This window comes from Homo sapiens, chromosome 6, assembly GCF_000001405.40.
Source record: "Homo sapiens chromosome 6, GRCh38.p14 Primary Assembly".
Lineage (NCBI taxonomy): Eukaryota > Metazoa > Chordata > Mammalia > Primates > Hominidae > Homo > Homo sapiens.
This window is the reverse complement of record NC_000006.12, coordinates 142,944,613-142,964,320: the sequence shown is the minus strand read 5'-3', so window position 1 is coordinate 142,964,320 and position 19,708 is coordinate 142,944,613. Positions and strand designations below refer to the sequence as shown.

At 43.0% G+C, this 19,708-nt stretch overlaps 1 protein-coding gene and 1 long non-coding RNA gene across 8 annotated transcripts in view, besides 7 other annotated features; one reads left to right on the top strand and one right to left on the bottom strand.

Moving 5' to 3' along the window:
* Window positions 1-1,041: 1,041 nt before the first annotated feature.
* Window positions 1,042-17,832, bottom strand: HIVEP2-DT (HIVEP2 divergent transcript). The gene is made up of 3 exons (XR_001744397.3): window positions 14,629-17,832; window positions 13,930-14,173; window positions 1,042-7,902 (listed from the first exon to the last, which is right to left on the bottom strand). It is a non-coding gene; the product is annotated as an HIVEP2 divergent transcript (long non-coding RNA).
* Window positions 16,566-16,615: an enhancer, noted in NCBI's record as "active region_25189". NCBI's record gives its function as "activates an Ori minimal core promoter by ATAC-STARR-seq in GM12878 lymphoblastoid cells {active_cell/tissue: GM12878}" and the evidence as "EXISTENCE:reporter gene assay evidence [ECO:0000049][PMID:35858748]".
* Window positions 16,656-17,065: a silencer, noted in NCBI's record as "silent region_17622". NCBI's record gives its function as "represses an Ori minimal core promoter by ATAC-STARR-seq in GM12878 lymphoblastoid cells {active_cell/tissue: GM12878}" and the evidence as "EXISTENCE:reporter gene assay evidence [ECO:0000049][PMID:35858748]".
* Window positions 17,646-17,865: a silencer, noted in NCBI's record as "silent region_17621". NCBI's record gives its function as "represses an Ori minimal core promoter by ATAC-STARR-seq in GM12878 lymphoblastoid cells {active_cell/tissue: GM12878}" and the evidence as "EXISTENCE:reporter gene assay evidence [ECO:0000049][PMID:35858748]".
* Window positions 17,916-18,545: a silencer, noted in NCBI's record as "silent region_17620". NCBI's record gives its function as "represses an Ori minimal core promoter by ATAC-STARR-seq in GM12878 lymphoblastoid cells {active_cell/tissue: GM12878}" and the evidence as "EXISTENCE:reporter gene assay evidence [ECO:0000049][PMID:35858748]".
* The window catches only part of HIVEP2 (HIVEP zinc finger 2), a 194,265-nt gene continuing 193,144 nt past the window's right edge, over window positions 18,588-19,708 (top strand). For 3 of the 7 annotated variants that reach the window (NM_006734.4, NM_001438451.1, XM_047418712.1), the window contains exon 1: window positions 19,145-19,222. The gene's annotated coding sequence lies outside the window, so the exon portion shown is untranslated. Of the gene's footprint in view, window positions 18,831-19,144; window positions 19,521-19,708 lie in introns of those variants that run through there. The other 4 variants (NM_001438449.1, NM_001438450.1, XM_024446419.2 and 1 more) reach the window with 3 other exon arrangements.
* Window positions 18,776-19,005: a silencer, noted in NCBI's record as "silent region_17619". NCBI's record gives its function as "represses an Ori minimal core promoter by ATAC-STARR-seq in GM12878 lymphoblastoid cells {active_cell/tissue: GM12878}" and the evidence as "EXISTENCE:reporter gene assay evidence [ECO:0000049][PMID:35858748]".
* Window positions 19,206-19,305: a silencer, noted in NCBI's record as "silent region_17618". NCBI's record gives its function as "represses an Ori minimal core promoter by ATAC-STARR-seq in GM12878 lymphoblastoid cells {active_cell/tissue: GM12878}" and the evidence as "EXISTENCE:reporter gene assay evidence [ECO:0000049][PMID:35858748]".
* Window positions 19,446-19,515: a silencer, noted in NCBI's record as "silent region_17617". NCBI's record gives its function as "represses an Ori minimal core promoter by ATAC-STARR-seq in GM12878 lymphoblastoid cells {active_cell/tissue: GM12878}" and the evidence as "EXISTENCE:reporter gene assay evidence [ECO:0000049][PMID:35858748]".

Sequence of the window (19,708 nt, the reverse complement as noted above, 5' to 3'; positions counted from 1 at the left end):
CAAAAACAAGAAGTGAACAGATTATTCAAAAAATTAATAAGACATAAATACTTCATTTTAACTGGAATTTGCATAGATGTTTTGGATCTTTTCAATTAAAAACCCACAGAAATCAATGACTCCTAATATGGGCATATATGAAGAGTAACTCTTTTGTCATCTATGAATTAATGTAATAAGAAACTGGGAGAAAATGCAGATGAAATTTGATAGGATATGAAAAAACAATTGAGAGATAAAGTCAAATAGAAATCACTTTGACATCAAGAAGTAAATTGTAACAGAAATATTTTTAGATAATACAAAGAGCAATAATTCATTAACAGGAAGAGGGAAGTACTGAATGGGCTTTTTAGTTTTTGATAACACATTTAACCCAGAGGACTGAATCACATGAACTCTTTGAGAAAATACTTAAATTTCTTTCAAATTTGATACACAATCCTGACATTGACAGAGATAAAATTGAACTCACACTACACCATTACAACAAGGACACCAGTGACAAGCTGGTTAATGAGTAACATCAATTGAAAGAGTATTTAAAATTACTTACATGCAAGAAAATTATCAATGCCCTGAAATCTTATAGCTCTTGCAGTTCATATATGAAAGAAATTTGACTGAAGTTTTCCTGTACTTGACAACAATCCTGAAAACTTACTTATAATTATTAAAGAGTTGTGAGCCAGAAAGAAAACAAATTTCAATCATGCCAAAGGAATGACTGAATAAATTATCACTGTTTTCTCTGTATAGAAAATAATATAAACAATTCTTGGCCTGGCGTGGTGGCTCTCGCCTGTAATCCCAGCACTTTTGTAGGCCGAGGCGGGTGGATCATGCGGTCAAGAGATTGAGACCATCCTGGCCAACATGGTGAAACCCCGTCTCTACTAAAAATACAAAAATTAGCTGGGCCTGGTGGCATGCCCCTGTAGTCCCAGCTACTCGGGAGGCTGAGGCAGGAGAATCGCTTGAACCTGGGAGGCAGTGGTTGCAGTGAGATGAGATAGCGCCACTGCACTCCAGCCTGGGCGACAGAGCGAAACTCCATCTGAATAAGTAAATAAAGAAATTTTTCTCATGTGGTCAACAATATGCAACCAAAAGTAGAACACGTAGAATTATACATGTGATCAGTCAGCTAATTAATACAAAATATAGGTTTTTTTCTGAGATTTTGTGGTATTTCTGGCATTTGTGAGAATGCTAAAACTTGTAATTTGTTGTGATTAATTTTCTCTATACAATAAATATTCACTTTTATTAGTAATTCTGCATTTGTAATTTTGTATTCTTTTTCTTAAAATGCATGTCCAAAATTATACTTGCCTAAGACCCTACAACACCTGGAGCCACCCATGCATTTTTTTTTGGATTATGTGTTCCTCAAGGGCAGGGACTGTGGGCTTTTTCTCTCCACACCTGACCAAAAGTAGGAGCTCAACAAATATATGTGCAGTGAAAAGGAATGGGGGCAAACAGTCTGGTAGTATAGTAGAAAGCAAAATTTGGTTATGGTAAGAGGAGTACAGATACATCTGGATCACAGTCTAAATTCTCTCCAGGGACCAAATATATATGTTTTACCCCTTGGGTTATTGGTCTGGCAGACTCCAATTTTTAATAGGGTTTATATAATCTAGACTTCTTATAAGCTCTGCCCCACTGAATACAGGCATTACTCAGTTGAAGTTAAAAATTGAATATAGGATTATGTGCAATGCTTTATCTATAACTTTCTTGTAAGGATAAACTCAGTACATCTCTGGTTTTCTAATATTTTGGAGGAAATGTTACAAATAGATAAGGAAAGTTTGAGCCTTGGCTGCAAATTCAAGTATACTCTGAAAACCTCAATTATCTACCTTTGCACTATTAATGACAATGAAAATAGTTTTATAAGACAATATTACAAGTCATTATAAGGCCCAATTTTCTAGGTGAACTGAAGTTATTTGTTACTTTTCAAATCAGAAATAGAAATGGTAGAATTACCAAACCATAGGTTTGCTTAAGAAGCTGCCAAGTCAAGCAGTACCACCATTATCCCATCCAAACAGATGTTATCCTATTTTTAAAGACTTCTGGGAAAGGGAGATTCCCTAACCTTCCTTAGCAACCCACGTGGATGTTTAACAACACTTGCTGTCAGGGATGCTGGTTCTCTGAGCCTGGCTTGAGTATTTTTACATTTTTCTATGTGCTCGTGTTTTTCCTTGTCCTCGTTTCCTCTTTTGGTACTAATTTTTGTTTTTTCCCATTAATTTTGTTTGTAGCATCTTTTTTCTGCAAATAAAAAAATCTTAAATGACCCCCCAAAATTAAACAAAATACGTAGAATATTATTTTACATATCACACATCTTTGGGATGGAAATGAGTTTTAACTTAGATTTTATACAAATAGTACACAGGCATTTGATATTCACTTCCCATATGTATGTCTATTAGACATTTATTAATTTGTGTGAGTTAAGGACATATATCACTTTATTGAAATGCATTACATTTTGGCAGTGTTAAGTATTTGAACATATCATTTTGCTTTAGTCTTTAGTTTCTTCTGAATGCTTTACAAATTTTCTATATTTTTCTTAAGTTGATAAGTTTTGAACTGGATAAGAAATTCTTATAGAGGTCTGAGCAGTGCTGAAGATCTTGGGCAGAACAGCTCTTTCATTTCTGCCTTGTTAATTTAGAGTGTTTGCCTCTCAATCCATCTGTACATCTAGAAATCTGTATTAGTCAGGGTTCGCTAGAGGTAAGAACTAATAATATATATGTATATATGAAGGGGAGTTTATTAGGATAATTGACTCACGATCACAGGGTGAAGTCCCATAATAGGCCAGCTGTAAGCTGAGGAGCAAGGAAGCCAATCCAAGTACCAAAACCTCAAAAGTAGGGAAGTCGACAGTGCAGGCTTCAGTCTGTGGCTGAAGGCCTGAGGGCCCCTAGCAAACCACTGCTCTAAGTCCAAGAGTCTGAAAGCTGAAGAACTTGGAGTCTGATGTTCAAGGGCAAGAAGCATCCAGCATGGGGAAAAGATGATGACCAGAAGACTCAGCAAGTCTTCTCATTCCACTTTCTTCTGCTTGCTTTATTCTAGCTGCATTGGCAGATGCTTAGATGGTAACCACTCAGATTGAGGGTGGGTCTGCCTCTTCCAGTCTACTGACTCAAATGTTAATCTCCTTTGGCAGCACCCTTGATATGATTTGGCTGTATCCTCACCCAAATGTTATCTTGAATTCCCACGTGTTGTAGGAGTGACCCAGTGGGAGGTAATTGAATCATGGGAGCAGGTCTTTCCCATGATGTTCTCATGATAGTGAATAAGTGTCATGAGATATGATGGTTTTCAAAATGAGAGTTTCCCTGCACAAGCTCTCTGCTTTTGTCTGCCGCCATGTGAGATGTGCTTTTCACCTTCCACCATGATTGTGAGGCCTCCCCAGCCATGTGGAACTGAAAGTCCAATAAACCTCTTTCTTTTGTAAATTGCCCAGTCTCAGATATGTCTTTATCAGTGTCATGAAAACAGACTAATACAACCCTCACAGACAAACCCAGGAACAATACTTTGCATCCTTCAATGCAAACAAGTTGACACTCCATATTAATCATCACAGTAGCTGACCAATTATCCTTGAATACCCAGCTGGCCATATCTCATATAGAAATTGTGATTTGACAGGTACCAGGAAAGTTATGTTGTTTTGAAAGAGTTCTTATTATCAGGTACCTGAGGGCCTGAAATTCCACTAATAGTGATTCATTTCATTGTACTATTTTTTTGTGTGAACTATTTTAAAATACAATAACTTTCCAGAATTTTAACACTTTGATCAATTTACTCCAAGAAACTGACCTCCAAGTGTACTTCTCAGATAAGTCACTGGATGTCTGGTAGATGTCTGGGAATGAAGATATATAGACAGAAGATGAACATACACTCTAGTTGGCAGTGGATGATCTTGATTCATGCCATTTGTCCAGATGTAATGATTCATAGCTTCCCCTTTTGCTCTCAAATGTATGGTCATCTTTGTAAAGTCAACCAAAGCAGGAAATGGTTATTAAGTGAAGCTGTGAGGAGTTTGGGGAATAACTTTAGAGGACTTAGATCTGAACTTGATTCCCTGCTCTCTTACTTGTTGGCTGAGTGACAAAGGGCAGGTTATTTAACATTTCCTACTCTCACCTCCCCACTGACAAACACAGACTTAATCTTAAGTGTCTTTTGGATACACCTTGTAATGATGCAGCCATTAATATTGGTAACTCCTATTTTGCACAGGCTTGGCATTTGTAAACTATTCAAATCTACCAGACACAGACACTTTTCTACTCCGGGGTCACCCTCTTGTTATTTGCATTTCACTTCTAATTGTATTCCTAAATTTCATCTTTATCAATTCTCTTTTATACCTATTGTCTTTGTTCAGGCCACTATAACAAATTGTCATGAAATGGATGGCTTATAAACAACAGAAATTTATTTCTCACAGTTCTGGAGCCTGAAAGTCCAAGATCACAGCGTCAGCATGATTGGGTTCTAGTGAGGGCCCTCTTTCAGGTTGCAGACTCTGGGCTTCTTGTGTCCTCACATGCTGAAAGAGAGTGAGCTAGCTCTCTGGCCTTTTCTTATAAGGACATTAATCTCATTCAGGAGGGGTCCACCCTCATGCGTAAATGAGGCTCAAACTTTCCTTACCTATTTGTAACATTTCCTCCAAAATATTAGAAAACCAGAGATGTACTGAGTTTATCCTTACAAGAAAGTTATAGATAAAGCATTGCATATAATCCTATATTCAATTTTTAACTTCAACTGAGTAATACCTATATCCAGTGGGGCAGAGGTTATAAGAAGTCTAGATTATATAAACCCTATTAAAAATTAAGAGTCTACCAGACCAATAACCCAAGGGGTAAATCTATGTATTTGGTCCCTGGAGAGAATTTAGATTGTGATCCAGATGTATCTGTACTGCTCCTACCATAACCAAATTTTGCTTTGTACTATACCACCAGGCTGTTTGCCCCCATTCCATTTCAGTGCACATACATTTGTTGAGCTCCTACTTTTGGTCAGGTGTGGAGAGAAAAAGACCTTTACTTCCCAAAGGTCTCACCCCCAGATAGTGCTACCATCACATTGGGGATTAGATTATAATCTATGAATGTTAGAGAATACCAACATTCAGTCCATAACACTTACCAAGAAAACTGATCTCACAATCTGCACCACTCTGTCTGGCAATGGCTTTGACACCTTCATCTGTGTTATTGGATATTGTTCTATGTATGTTCATTCTGTCCTACATACCATATTGTCAGGTTTTTGAAAGCAATAAGATTCATCTTCCCTTTTTACTAGGAATCTAACACAATGTGGAAAAAATAAAGAACTGTCAGAATCATATTACTTCACTGAGTTAAAACTCTAGGCTTATGTATCATTCTCAGCTTCATTCTCGAATTATTTTCACTGAAAATAAAAGGTGTTAAAATTATTGCCAGTTTGTAAAAGGAGTGAAATAATTTAAAACAGATGGAAACATTCTTGGTAAGTATAGGAATTGCATCCTTCAGGATTGAGATCCAAAATAAAAACAACTTCGATCATGACAATTTTTTTGCTGCACAAACTAAGAAAATGAGTCTGCCTTGAACCAGAGGAAACTTCTACAGAGCTGGAGCTATATCTCCATGGTTCATTCGGTTCTTAGCCTTCTCTCTGGGCCTGCCAATCAAGACACTTCGGAGAGTGCTTTGCTGGCATATGCAAGCCCCAACTACTTGAAATGAGGCAGATATCGCCAGGGCATTTCAGAGGCCAGACACCAGATGGTAATAATACATTTCAACTATTAGAAGTTTGGATCAGAAAGCTAAAGGTGGAAGTCTTATCTCATTTGTCAAATGATGTAATTCATTATTAAATCAGGACATACCAGTTAACAACTGAAGAATAATTTTGGTTGCTATTTATAATGCACTCACCAGTTCATTTGGCTTGGGTAGCTTATTTAATTGTGTGTTACATTTTACATTTGTTAAATACTTAGGAGGACTAGGAAATGACCCACACAAATCCCAGTTCTGAGTAAATCAAAACTTTTCTTCCTGTGCCAACTCAACATTAACATGTTTCAGTTACATGAAGAAATTACGCATTATTTAAAATACTTGAAAGAGGAGACTACAGGAAACTCTCTAGGTAAATGTAGTGAGCTTTGACAACATGTGTGGGCTTTGGGGGCTGTACGTTTTTAGAATGAAAGTGAACACATATCCAGCTCACAAAAAGAGAGAATGGCCATAAATAAATCAATTAATTGCTTTTTTTTTTTTTTTTTGAGGAGGGTGACAGGGTCTTGCTCTATAGCCCAGGCTGGAGTGCAGTGTCACCATCACAGCTCACTGCAGCCTTGACCTCCTGGGCTCAAGCAATCCTCTCACCTCAGCCTCCCAAGTAGCTGGGACCACAGGCTTATGACACCATGCCTCACTAATTTTTTTATTTTATATACAGATAGTATCTCACTATGTTGCCCAGGCTGGTTTTGAACTCTTGGCCTCAAACAATCCTCCCATCTTGGCCTTCCAAACTGCAGGGATTACAGGCATGAGCCACCACTCCCGGGCCAATTAATTTCTTAAGATACTGATAACAAAAGAAAAAAAATTAGCAGCCTAGGGTATCTACACTGGGAAATCTTAACATAATTCTTACTAAGAAGCAAATGAGCTTAGGCTTTTCTAAAAAAAAATTAATTTTTGTGAGTACATAGTAGGTACCCCATATCTATGGAGTACATGAGATTTATTTATTTATTTATTTATTTATTTTTTAAGATGGAGTCTCACTCTGCCAGGCTGGAGTGCAGTGGCACGATCTCAGCTCACTGCAATCTCTGCCTCCCGGGTTCAAGTGATTCTCCTGCCTCAGCCTCCCGAGTAGCTGGGACTACAGGTGCGTGCCACCATGCCCTGCTAATTTTTGTATTTTTAGAGATGGGGTTTCACCTTGTTGGCCAGGCTGGTCTGATACGGACATACAATGTGTAATAATCATATCATGTAAAAAGAATTTAGTCTTGAAGAACCTTTAAAGAATAAAATCTTGGTAGCTCTGGCATTGACTCAGAAAATAAGAGAATGTAATCAATCTGATACTGAATGTTTTATGGCTGCCATACTATCTGCAAATAGGGTCATTATCATCTTCATCATTAGCAGCATCATCACAGCTAATACATATTAAGCACTTCCAATGTGGCAGGCACTGTTCTAAGAATTTTCTACCTGTCTTAATTCATTTTATCCTCTCAAAAATTCTGTGAGGTAGGTACTCTTATGCCCATTATAAAGATAAGAAAACTGAGGCCATATAAGTTGCAAGAATTATAGAATATTGAAGTTGGAACGAAACTTAGGGCTCACCTTGTTCAACTCCCAATTTATGGATGAGGAAACAGGTACAGAGATGAATGCATTGCTCAGAGTCACATAAGAAGTTAGTGCCTGACCATGAATATTTAGATAAACAAGCAGCATATATTAAATGCTTAATGTATAACATTTAACCCTGACAGTAACACTATGAAACAAATACTATTGTCTCAATTTTGTAGAAAAATGAAGCTCTTAGAGATGTTAAGGGATTGGCCAAATCACTGTCAGGTAAATGAGGGTGTTGGGTTTTGATCTCTGGCCTGTCACTAGACATCATGACAGTATCAGCAGACTGTCTCTCGAAGGCATAGGACTGTCTCCTCTCTGTTGATTTTGCACTGCACGGGACGGCCTCCTACTTACGCTGTAAACAGCTGCATTTTAGTCTTTAGCCTTGTTAGATCTCATGTCAGAGGAAGCAGTTCATGGAACCCTGGAATAATTAAGAAAAAAGCCGAAATGAGTGGCAGCCCCTTTGCTAAGTTCTGAAACACCAAAACAATAAGAGGCCTTCAATTTGTTCTATGTAATCAAATCTGGATGACAATGGAAAAACTCAACCAAATACCTTTATGCTTTCAGATATCCTGATATTTATAATCATGCAAATGTTCTTCATTTCTGCTTTCACTCAGGAATTTTAGGGGCATTTTGCAAACATTGCTACTATATTTGTATAAATACAATAAACCTAGTGATGTAATCTCTTGTTGGAAACTTAAATGCAATTGTCTTGATGTTTTTTCTTCTTCAAATTTTGCCCAGGCCATGACATTTAATATTTCTCATTATACGTATATTATCGTTTTTTAAAAATAGCATCATGGTTTCATTTAACGAAGGGTGAATTTTAAAGATGCCAATTGGTTATTTGTTTTTAGCATATCTTTAAGTTTATATATACTTGGATCAATATATTATACTGCTAGAAATGTCTTTTAAAATGACAAGTGCACATGATATTTACTAGAGAGAAGATATGTATATGTATCTGTATATACACCTTAAGATTTCACATAATTACTAATTTTTAAAGTTACATACATCTAGCACTTGATGCTCTAACTAAGCCACTCAGCTAAATATCACATTTTCTGTGTAAAACAGAAAATTTGAAAAACTAGATTTTCAAGAGCAAAGTAAATTTGGGAGTTGCTTCATTAACATGGAGACGTGATTTAAACTTGTAACTATCCACTAATAAGAGAAAGGTACCCTTTATAGATATTCAGAAGGCTATTATTTTTACTCATCTACTCTGATAATACAATGGATGTTCTAAGACAAGCTGGGGGTGGTAACCAAGGGCTTCATTTATCTGAAATTAGAAGTGCCCATAATGGGTTGGCAGAGCTGTGGGCAGCATTGTGTGTTTCCCAGCTCTCTCTAATTAACCATAGAAAAATGTGAGGAATAGCACCCAAATTATCTAAATTCTCTTTAGGATTTGCTACCTTAAAAACTATTTTCCTTTTGTTACATTCAATATGTATAATTAGGCTTTCAGAAAGTCCTCTGTTTGGAATTCTTTCCTTGCCGACCTGCCACCCAATTGCAAGTTACATCCAGCAGCCATTACTTATGTACTGAAGGTTGTTTCTGAGAAAAGTTTTTTCAATTAATTAATAGAACACATAAGATATACGTATCTTTAAATCCCCAATGTCTACCCCTTCCTCAAAACTCATCTAGCCCACAAAGGCATCTTCCTCTGGTTCATTCTGATTGCCTTTCTTACATTATCTCTTAGGACTTTCTCCTCCGCAGTCCCCACCTTCCATGTCCAGCCACACTGGCCTTTCAGTTCCTCATGGCACAGAGCTTCTCCTTGGCTTAGGGCTTTTGCACTTTCAGTTCTCTCTTTCTGGGGCTCTTTTTCCCTGCTTTTCCTCAGTCAGTTCTCAGCCCAAATGTCAACCCTGCAGATACCTCTACCCTCATCCAATATTACCCTACCTACCTATTTATTGCCTAACAATTACCTTGTTTTATTCTTGCCATTTTTCATGATTTGAAACTGTCTTCTTGGTAAATTTGTTTTCTATCAGTTTCCCAACCAGAATGTGAGGCCCATAGAACCTAAAGGCCTCATCTGCCTTGATCACTCCTATATCTCTAGTCATCAAACTTGGTCTAGCATATGGTTACTTGAAACATTATTTTAAAAATCAATACATACATACATGCATGCATGCATATATACAAACATATCTTTGCTCAAAAACCAACCTTCTAACTAACTTAGAAGTTAGAACACAGATTATCTCAGGGGTACCCTGTGGGAAGGGGTACAAGGGAGCCTTCTGTAATCTTAAAAATATTCTCCATCTTTTTCAGAGTAATGGTTACACTCACACAAATATATGCCAAAATTAACATAATTGTACACTTATGATTTGTTTATATTGGGTACCTACATTTTTAAAAATGCCTTTTTGTCAATTCATCAAGGGCTGATTTACACACATGACGTTTGGTGAGCTTTGTACCAGTGGTGCTTGGGTCAGGCATCCTTAAGCGCCTGGCAAAAATCTGATTGTTGGAAAATAATCATTGCCTTGAAGGACAGATGTAATAACAACAGAACAGGTTGCCTCCCCAAGGCTACATTTTTTTTTAAACACAGGTCTGTTTTGAAATATGCCCCCACCCGTGTCATTATTTAAGATGTTATTTAGCAAAGGGAGTCTCACACATTTCAGTGGCAGTGTCGTGGCCTACACACAGAGCCCAGGAAAAGATAAGAAGGCAGGAGTAAAATATTAACTTAAAAACTCAGAATATTTATTCAACACAATACATCATTGGCACAGCCTCTGCTAGTTGAGGATCCCACAGTAGAGTGCAGGAGAAATGATTATAAAACAATGATAGATAAAATTATAGGGCACTAGAGGGACCTGGAGCATATCAGTTTGCCAGAACAGAAGGTATTGACATATTCATCTACATATACAAGAATGTCAATGGGAAATGACATACTGAGTAAGTAGTTCCTTTATAAAAAATCTTTTTAAAAAAGATACAAAACAAATAATTAACTTCCTAATACATTATACTCACCAGAATCACTGGGAGCAGACTCATCTATATAAGGGGACTTTTCAAGTGGCTGAATATTTTGAGTACAAAGTATTTTAAAATGAGTTTAATTTTCTCCTGTGCAAATCTTTCTAAACAGATCATGGATTTCTTCTTCCTCTTACACAAGGTGTATTGCTATGACACACTAGTCTCTCTGTTGTTTGGGTTTATGAAGCACATGGATGACTGAGTGGGATTATTTCAGCGATGACTCTGTTGTTACCCCAGTAACAGCTAAGTAAACCCACCCTGCTTCGCATCTGCATAATTTTGTTATCTTCTTGTTTGCTGAGAGCAGCCTCCTCTGGATCAGAAATAATATCCTCTACTTGCTCATTTTCTCTTCGATGCTTCCAACTTGCTACCTTATTTTACATATAATTTCTAGGTCAGGGCCTGAATCACTGCACAAACTTAGTGACAACTATTTTACTTTTTTTGTTTTACTACCCTAAACTCAAGGTTCAAACCTATATAAAAGAGGGTCAGATCTACCAGATATCACATCAATAGATAAATTGGGAGTGGGTCAAGTCACTGTTCTCAGGAATTCTAAAAGTTCAAGGACTTAGGTACTAATCAAGAAAAATACATTTTTCCCAAAGTGTTTTATGGCTGACAATGAGAAACAACGCTTCTCCTTTCGGACCATATAGTATGCCAAATTTATATAGCCTATGTTTAAACCAAAATCACTATTCTCTGAAACCCCCTACTATACCTTGCCCATGTACTCTCATTTCTTTAACATTGGAAATTTATGTTTTACCCTAAGAAACCACTGCAAGAGCTTGGGAGGAATTTGGACTTTGATAAGCTCTCTCTGCTATTTTTCTTTTTCATGCCTCCCTCTCTTCTTTTCCCCTTCTCTGTCCCTGCTAGATTGTTAGGAGTTTCTATTTCAGAATCTTATGATTGAAAGGGAATCCCCTAGTTGCTTGAATGAGGAAGTGGAGGCTAAGAGAGGGGACCCAGGTCTCCCGCTAGCTCAGAGTCAGGACTAGCACCTGCACTCTGGGCTGACAGAGCCACCCAGCTTCTGCCTAAAAAGCCTGGATCATCATGCCCCACTCCACAGGCCCTGAGCACAGGCATCCTCTGTGTCCAAAGACAGTGGCTTTTGCGTTTGCCTTTCCCTTCATCGTTTCACACCTTTCCCCTTCAATTTGTATCCTATTCCTAGTTGCCCTAGTGTGCCCATGTCAGTCTGGTCCAAGCTTTGGATCTCTCTGTCTCACTCCCCCTCCAGACCTTCCTATATTATCTCCATTCTATGCTTTGTCAAGATAAATCAGTTTGATCACTAAGCTAGCTGTCACTCTGTAAGGCAATCTAATAAATTAATCTTTCATAAGAAGTTAATGACTGATTAAGAGCTTAGGATAAGAAGAGCCTACCACTTGTAGTTAGCTTGTACGGGAAGATTTCTACAGAGGCAGAGCCTTAACCCCAAGCAGTGACTGTTAAGTGGAGGAATTTCAGTTCTAACCAATTTTGGAGTTGGGGGAGGGTGATGGAAGAAAGTAGGATGGGGGATGATGTTAATGTGGTGCTCTTAAATTGCTAACATTGTATCATAAGCCTACATTTCCCTGTATCTAAGGTGGCAGTTCAGGCATTGGTAATCCTGGACAGTCTTACTGGCTGCTCCTGTATCTGATATTTGTTCATCTTTAAGAAGGTTATCTGTGAGACATCAGTGAGCTTCCTCAGAATAAAGGCCTGACTGGGCATTCCTTGAGCATTCTCTAGAATATAACAAGCATTTCACAGCAGATTGGACTGAAGAAACATGCAGTATCCTTCCATAAACTATGGGCAGGGTTGGTCCTAAGCTAAGCTAGAAAACCATCAAAGTTTGCTTGCATCTTGCTCATCCCCACAGCTGACCTCTCCCTCCCCTCGCGCCCTCTATGCATTCGTATATTCCGTGCCCACCATTCCCTCCTTCCCCTGCACCCTTCTCATCCCCAGGGCTGGATCATTCATGGGATCATTTCTTTCCTGACATATTTTTTGTACAGAAGAAATCTGGTTAAAATAAGAGCCACATGAATATCTTTAAAGGAGAAAAAGAGACCAACTTGTCATAAAGGATCACGTGAAATTTGAAGAATGTGACAAACAGGGAAGAAGGGAGTTCTCAGCCAGCCAGCCCCCATTCAATCTGAGGGACAAAGTGAGCTAGAAATTGTATGTAAAGGGATGCTTCTCAGACTTTAATGAGAATAGAAGTCATCGGGGATCTTATTCACATGGAGTTTCCCAGGCCCTAATTTTGAGGATTTTGATTTTATAAATCTAGGGGGTAGCCCAGGCTTTTAATTGAGCATTGCAAGAGATATTGCTACAAGTGGTCTTTGGAATATATTCCGAGCAACTCTGGAATACAGGGTGACATTTGGTTAGTTGGATGTCTGCATGCTCTGTGTGCCTTGTAAAACCCATGAGGGTAAGCACTTTATCCTTCAATCCTAACAGATGTCATCTTGAATCACAGTATGGCTCTGGCTGATCGGTCCTTCATTACCACTATCACCCTCCACTCCTGAGCCAAAGGATGTATAGTGGGATCAAAAGACTTGTCTACATTAGAATGATTGGATTTGTATCCTATTGACGATTCAACAGACATGCAGATTTTCCCTCCAAATTCTTTTCTTCAACTAATTTTTGGGGACCTATGTATTCTTAACATCACATGAATCATGACACTGCTTAATTTTCCTCCATATACTAATTAAAGCAGATAAGTAGGAAGCAAGAGATCCATCAGAAAGGCAGTTCTAAGTCATTACTCTTTATTAAGACCTAAGGCTATATTCTATTTATTCATCAGAATCCCATAGCAGGTAACCCCTTTAATGTCTTATTTATAGTACCATAAATTTATCTGAGAGAGTGGCATGCCAGTTAATTCATTTTGCACAATTTTATGGGGGGACTTTATTACAATGATTTATATAGAATTTATAGGAAATTAGGCACATCATCTTGACTAAATCCCTAGTTATAAAAAATAGGGAAACCTAAGCCAAAAGACTTAAGGGATATAGTGGATACTTTCCGCCCCCTGGTCTGCAAGACTCCTTTCTTTTGGGAACAGCTTTTTTTTTTTTTTTTTTCCCCATGAGGACCTTCTCCTCTTCAGGTCTAGTCATGACCAAATCAGATCACTCCACCCAAGACCTGCAAGTGGTTCAGGTGCAATGACATGACTAAGGCTGCCTGAGCTATCTGGAAAGAAGGTCTTTTCCTGCTGTGTTGCTTATCTAGGAAGAAGATAATCTGGGAATGCTGCCACCAACCTGCAGAATGTTTGCCTGAAGGGCAAAGTGAAGCAGAGAGATAAGAACAGAGATGGAGAAGGCCTTACCGGGTAATAATATTTGAGCCTCAGGATCTCACTATGTTGAAAGTTAGTCCTTGAGTGATGGTTATGTGAATCAATGAAATCCATTTTTCCTTAAAGTCATTTGAGTTGCAGATTTAACAGAGAGAGTCTTGATTAGTAAGATGGACATGGCTGGTTCTGGAAACTTCATGTACAGTGTCTCCTGGTACCCAGTTCTCCTGCCTGGATATATCAGGTCCCATGCTCTGTGGCAGGAGGTCTTGTGCTTTAGAATACATAAGTAACAATTGCTTTACATGTTAAAAATGCAGAGTCCTGGGCCCACAAAGATTCAGATTCCATGGGGCTGAGTGATAAAGGCCCAAAATTTGCCTTTTATGAAGCTTTTCTGGAATTCTTACGGTGACCTGAGAGGCCTTCTGTTCACTGGCTGTCTCATTTTATTCTAGCCACACCATTCCCATTGATGTCTATAAAAATTCCAGGTATTGGAGCTGTATCTTGGCTGTTCCCTCCATGTGAAAAGCTCTGTCCTCCAGATATCTCCAGGTATTTCCTTCAAACCATGGCAGAAATCTCCCTTTTCAACAAGTCTTACTCTGATGTTCCTATTTAATACAGCATCAGGACAACCCTCACCCCACCTATATCCTTTACCCTATTTTATGTTTTTCCCCCAAACATTTTACCTTTCAAAGTCCTATATAATTTATTACTTACATTTATTGTCTATCCCATTCTTCCTCCAAATCCTCTCCTCCCGCTGGAATGCAAGCTCCAAGAAAGCAGGGAACTTTGATTTGTTCACTGATGTATCTTAAGAATCTTCAGCACATAGCCGGCATTCAATAAATATTTTTGAATGAAAATTTCAGTTCGAAATGATTTTCTGACAATACTCTGAAAAATGCCATATAACCATGAAGCCATTAATTATTTTATTTTCTTAATGTCTCAAAATGCAGATTACCAAATTTTCTTTCCCTTTGAAACTGAGAAGTGATAAGAAGGATGCATGATGAAAAGAAAGTTCCTACTTCCTTGCTGATGCTCCATATGGGTGCCAGGCTGGGGCAGCTGTGCCCCACCCAGCCTCACTTCCCATAGAGTTTCTTAGAGCTGCATGCCCAGTTTTCTACCAGTACTAGTTTTGTCTTCGGGGGCTTTCTGGGAAGAGTTTTCTGATTACTCTATTGCCCTTACATGCAAGCAACTGGACATTGACTAAATATGGATAGCATGTTTGGTATATAGACATAAAATATGGGTTATAAAGGAGATTCACTTAGAGAAGAAAAGCCATGCAGCCTTTTGGAGAGAAACCCCCAATCAATAGGCCATTGGGACTGAACACAGGAATAATCAATCACAATAGACAATGCTTTCTGAGTCCTATGTAGGTCAGGCTCTGGAGTGGCTGGTGCTGATTTGCTCCAGATCTGCAGTGGCTCCCCCTCCACTCGGGAGGCTGAGGTGGGAGGATTGCTTGAGCCTGAAAGGGAGAGGCTGCAGTGAGCCAAGATCATGCCACTGCACTCCAGCCTGGGTGATGGAGCAAGAACCTGTCACCAGAAAAAAAAAAAAAAAAAAAAAAAGGATTCTTCCCAGCAGAGAGGATGTCACCTAGTTACACATATTCATAATATTTTTACTTTACTTCAACTCAACGCAGGCTATCTTCTTTCCATCCTCATGACTCTGAAACAAAGTAATTATTTAAAATTTGTCAAATTGTGACTAAAACTCTTTTCAGGGATCCTCTTTGAAGGTGGGATCAAATCATCAAAATAGATGTATATCTGCCTGGTTTTCCTTAAAAAATATTTTAACTAACTACCGGAGTATCTTAATATTCCCATTATTCTCTTTAATCTAGTCTTTTAAAGAGGTATTTAAGGTTTCAACTAACATTCATTCTAGTGAAGCAAAACGCTGCCTGCTACTTGCCTTTGCTTAGTTTCTGGGAGCTTGGGCAGCTGCTGTTGTGCTTGTTGAAGGGAAATTGGATTCTTAAAGAAACTGCTTAATCTTCTCTATTAAGCAATTAAATAAAACGCTCTCTGGGAGTATGTAGCAGGTGGGTTTGAAAGTGAAAAAAATTTCAAAAATCACATTTTGTGTGTTAAATGGATGTTTAAAATGCAACTGCATACATTGAAAAGAAAATGATGATTGGGACAGTTTTTTAAATTAAAGGCTTCAAGTTAAGTTTAAAAAGGTTGGATATTAAAGAACCTATACAATGAAAGAAGAAGTTGCTTAAGTGGAAGTAGGCCCTGAATTTAAATGAGATCAACCTAAGAGAAGGACAAAGTGAAACTTAGGCCAAATTGTTCAGATTTTTCTCCTCTGAGAAAAAAATCGGTTAAAAAATGTATCACCGCTTTATTTTGCTGAGTTGCCCTTCACGGCACCGTCGCCATTGCATAGGGACCTCAAAAATACACTGATTGTGGGTCAGAATGAAAAACAAAACAAAACAAAACAAAAACGAAACCAGCAGCGCTATTCTCGCAGGCATTAAGGGGCTGCCCTTCCTTTGTAATGCACTCATTTTTAATGAAAAGAGAAGGGGATATTTTATATGTCCTCACATTTGGTCCCTTTCCGCGAAATTTGAAACTGGAGACACAAAACATTCCGCAGTTGCTGGTGAAATACCTGCTTTAAAAGCAGAACCACAGTTATTGTCTTTGGCCCGGAATTCCAGAGACTCATTTCCACCCCTCCCACGGAGTCACCTGCTCAGGGGGAACCCCGGCCAGAAAGCCGGGTCGCGCCAGGTCAAATCTTGCGCGTCTCTTGTTTACTCCGCCCCGGGCAGGGCGGCGGCGCGGCCAGGGGGTGGGGAGGACCGCTGGGGCCCGCGGCGTCCTGGGCGCTCGGCTCTGCTCCGCAGGGTGCGGGGGCTGGGGCGCCCGCGAGGTGCTGCGCGCGGTCCCCGCTGGGGGGGAGACCACCCGGAGGAGGCGCTCCGGGACCCGGCCCCCCTCCCCAGCAGTCACTCGTCGCGCTCGGGCACCGTGGCACCCTAGGAACCTCCCCCGAGGGTGCACACCAGTCCACATAGGCAGGGTAACGGCCCGAGAGAGCCCCGGTGTCCCCCGGGTGTCGCCCGGCCGGGGAGGAAGCCCAGAGCTTCGGCTCCCACTCGCCTGGGATTCCCCCGCCTCCCGGCCCCGCTCTCCCAGGGTTGGTTGTGATTTCAACTCCGGTCCCTTCCGTGGAGAGGGAAGCGCACAGGCTGAAGGTGGCAGCTCGCCCCGAGGTTCCAGCGCGGCCCACCAGGAAACCGGCAGCTGCTCTTCGCGCCGCTGCCCACACCTATTTGAATCCCCTGGCGAGGGCGGGCCGCGGTCCCCGAACTGGGGGTGCCGGGGGCACCCTGGTGAGTGACCTCAGGGAAGGTAATCCGGGCGTTTCGAGCACGTGAATAGTTCGCGCGCCCGCAGGGGCACGGAAAGTGCTAGTAAAACCCTACAAAGCTCCAGAAACCCAGCCGGGAGCCACAGTCTGATTTTGCTTTTCTTGACCGATAACATAATTGTGAGTAGAGGCAGGGGGCGAGGAGAGGCCAGGGATCCGGAGTACTGGTTCCAAATCTAAGGGCACTACTAATTATACAATTCCGTTCGTCAGGAAGGCAGACAACGATTCTCTGGGAAATGGGGAAGGGGTGGGGACGGAGGACGTTTCCACATCCTTAAAGGAAATTCTCAGGCTCCTAGAGATGCCCAAGTTTTTTTGCATGACAAGTAGAGACCAGCTCTCCGGGGAGTTCCCCGCTCCGACCGAGCGAGTGCGCGGCCGCGATCTCCCCGCCCGCAGCGGCAGCCGTGGGGCCCGGCCCTGCCCTCCCGACCGCCTCCCTCCCCCGTCGCCCCGCGCGCCGCACATCCCTCTCTCGCTCACTGGCTCCAGACTGGTTTTTCTGGTTCAGCCTCCCTCCCTGGGACGCGCTGGGGGATCCGATGACGTCGTTGGCTGAGTCTCTCCCTCTTCCTCCCTCCCTCCCTCCGCCTCTCCCCCCGTCCGCCCTCGCCGCGCACTCCTCCTAGTAACTTCTGTTCGGGGAGGCGCTGCCAGGAATAACCCGGTGCGTCCACAGCCCGGGAGGGGAGGCGGCCGCTGCGGCTCCCGCACGCAGACAGCTGCGGCCCGGGCCTCGCGGCTCCCGCCTGAGCCCGGCGGCCCCTGCCCCGGGCCCATCTCCGTACAGTGTCAGAAAAATAAATAAAGGCAAGAGGAGCCTGGGCTGGCGGTCGGGATCTTTTCCCTCCCTCCGCGCCCGCCCTCCCTCTGTCCTTAAGGAAATGCTACCAGACACCCCCCACCAGACACGCTCAGCCTTGGCGAGGAGCGGCCGCCGCGGCAGCGAGAACAAGGGCACCAGGGGGGTTTCCTCCCCCTCCTCCTCTCCCTCCTCCTCCCCGTCCTCCTTCTCCTCCTCCTCAGCGGTGACTTTCCAGGTGAGCGGCCGCCGCGGCTGCGAGGATCCCCCTCGCCCGCTGGGGCTCGGGCCGCCGCGTCGCGCCCTCCTCCCGCCCCTGTCACCCGGCGGCGGCCGGGAGCTGACAGCCGCCCGAGGGGCTCGCGGCCCGGAGGCGGGCGGCCGGCGGGAGGCGGGCTGGAGGTGAGGGGGTGGAGAGGAGGAGAGCGGGGCGCCGCCGAGCGCCGTCGTTCCCCGCAGGAGGGTCTCCGCACAAACATCTTCGGTGACTGTGGCACAAGTCTTTGCCAAGTTGTGTCTTGGACCTTGACGCTCCACGGAGCCCAGAGCAACTTGGAGGGTCTCCCGGCTCGTTCACAGCGTTCCTCCACGTCTCGCGTCTGGGGTGCTGGGTGCAGCCTCGGGGTGCGCGGAGGGCGGACCGGCCACCGCGAGAGCGGAGCGGCGGGAATCTAGGTCCCTCCTCGGCTCGGTAAGTGGCCTGGACGCTGGGTTTTTCCTGCCTCCTTCGGCGCTGGGAGCTTGTTTCACTTTATATTGGAATCGCCGCCGCCGAACTCCGTCCCCCGCTCCCCGGCGTGTGCCCCCAGCCCCTTCCCGGTGGCCCGAGGGTGAGGGTCGGAGGGGGCGGGGATGGGGGAGACCGCGGGAGGGGTGTCGGGCGCGTGGGGAAATGCGGGGAATACCCTGGCCGCGGATCTATGCAGATGAGGGGAGGCTGCTTTGCGTAATGTCCTGGGGGGAGGGGGCCGCGCGGGAGCGCTGGAGGCAGGAATGTGCCTGCTTACTAATGAGCGACGTGCACCGGCGCGCACGGCCCGGCCACCGCTGCGGCTGCGGCGGCCGGCGGCGGCCCGTTGTCAGGTAGCGGGGGAGGGGGCCGCGGCGCGCGGCGCAGGCGGCCGGGCGGGCTGGCGGCGCGAGGCCCGGGCCGCCGGCCTGCGGCCGAGCGAGCGCAGCGAAGGCGCTGGCTCTGGGCATTTCAGTGACTCCCTTTACCTCCCGGGCAAGGAAGGAAGGAAGGAAGGAGCGAAGGAAGGAAGCGAGGAAGGAGGGGACTGTCTCGATGGAAGGTTCAGGCGGAGGCGCCCTCGCCTTGCGGGTGCACCGGCTGCAGAGCGGCTCTGGCCGCTGCCGGCTGGACCCGGGCGCGTGGAGACGGGTGGGGGCGGTTTGCATGCGTGTTTGTCTGTCCGTCTGGCGGGGGATCGGGAAGGGACATGTGTGTTTGGGCTGTGCACTGTGGGGAACTGGGTCTGCGCCTTTATGTCTGTTCCCTGAAGTGGGTGGAACGTTGGCCCGTTCCGGGAATGTTCCATGACGTGGTGCAGCCACAGGAAGGGGGTTAAC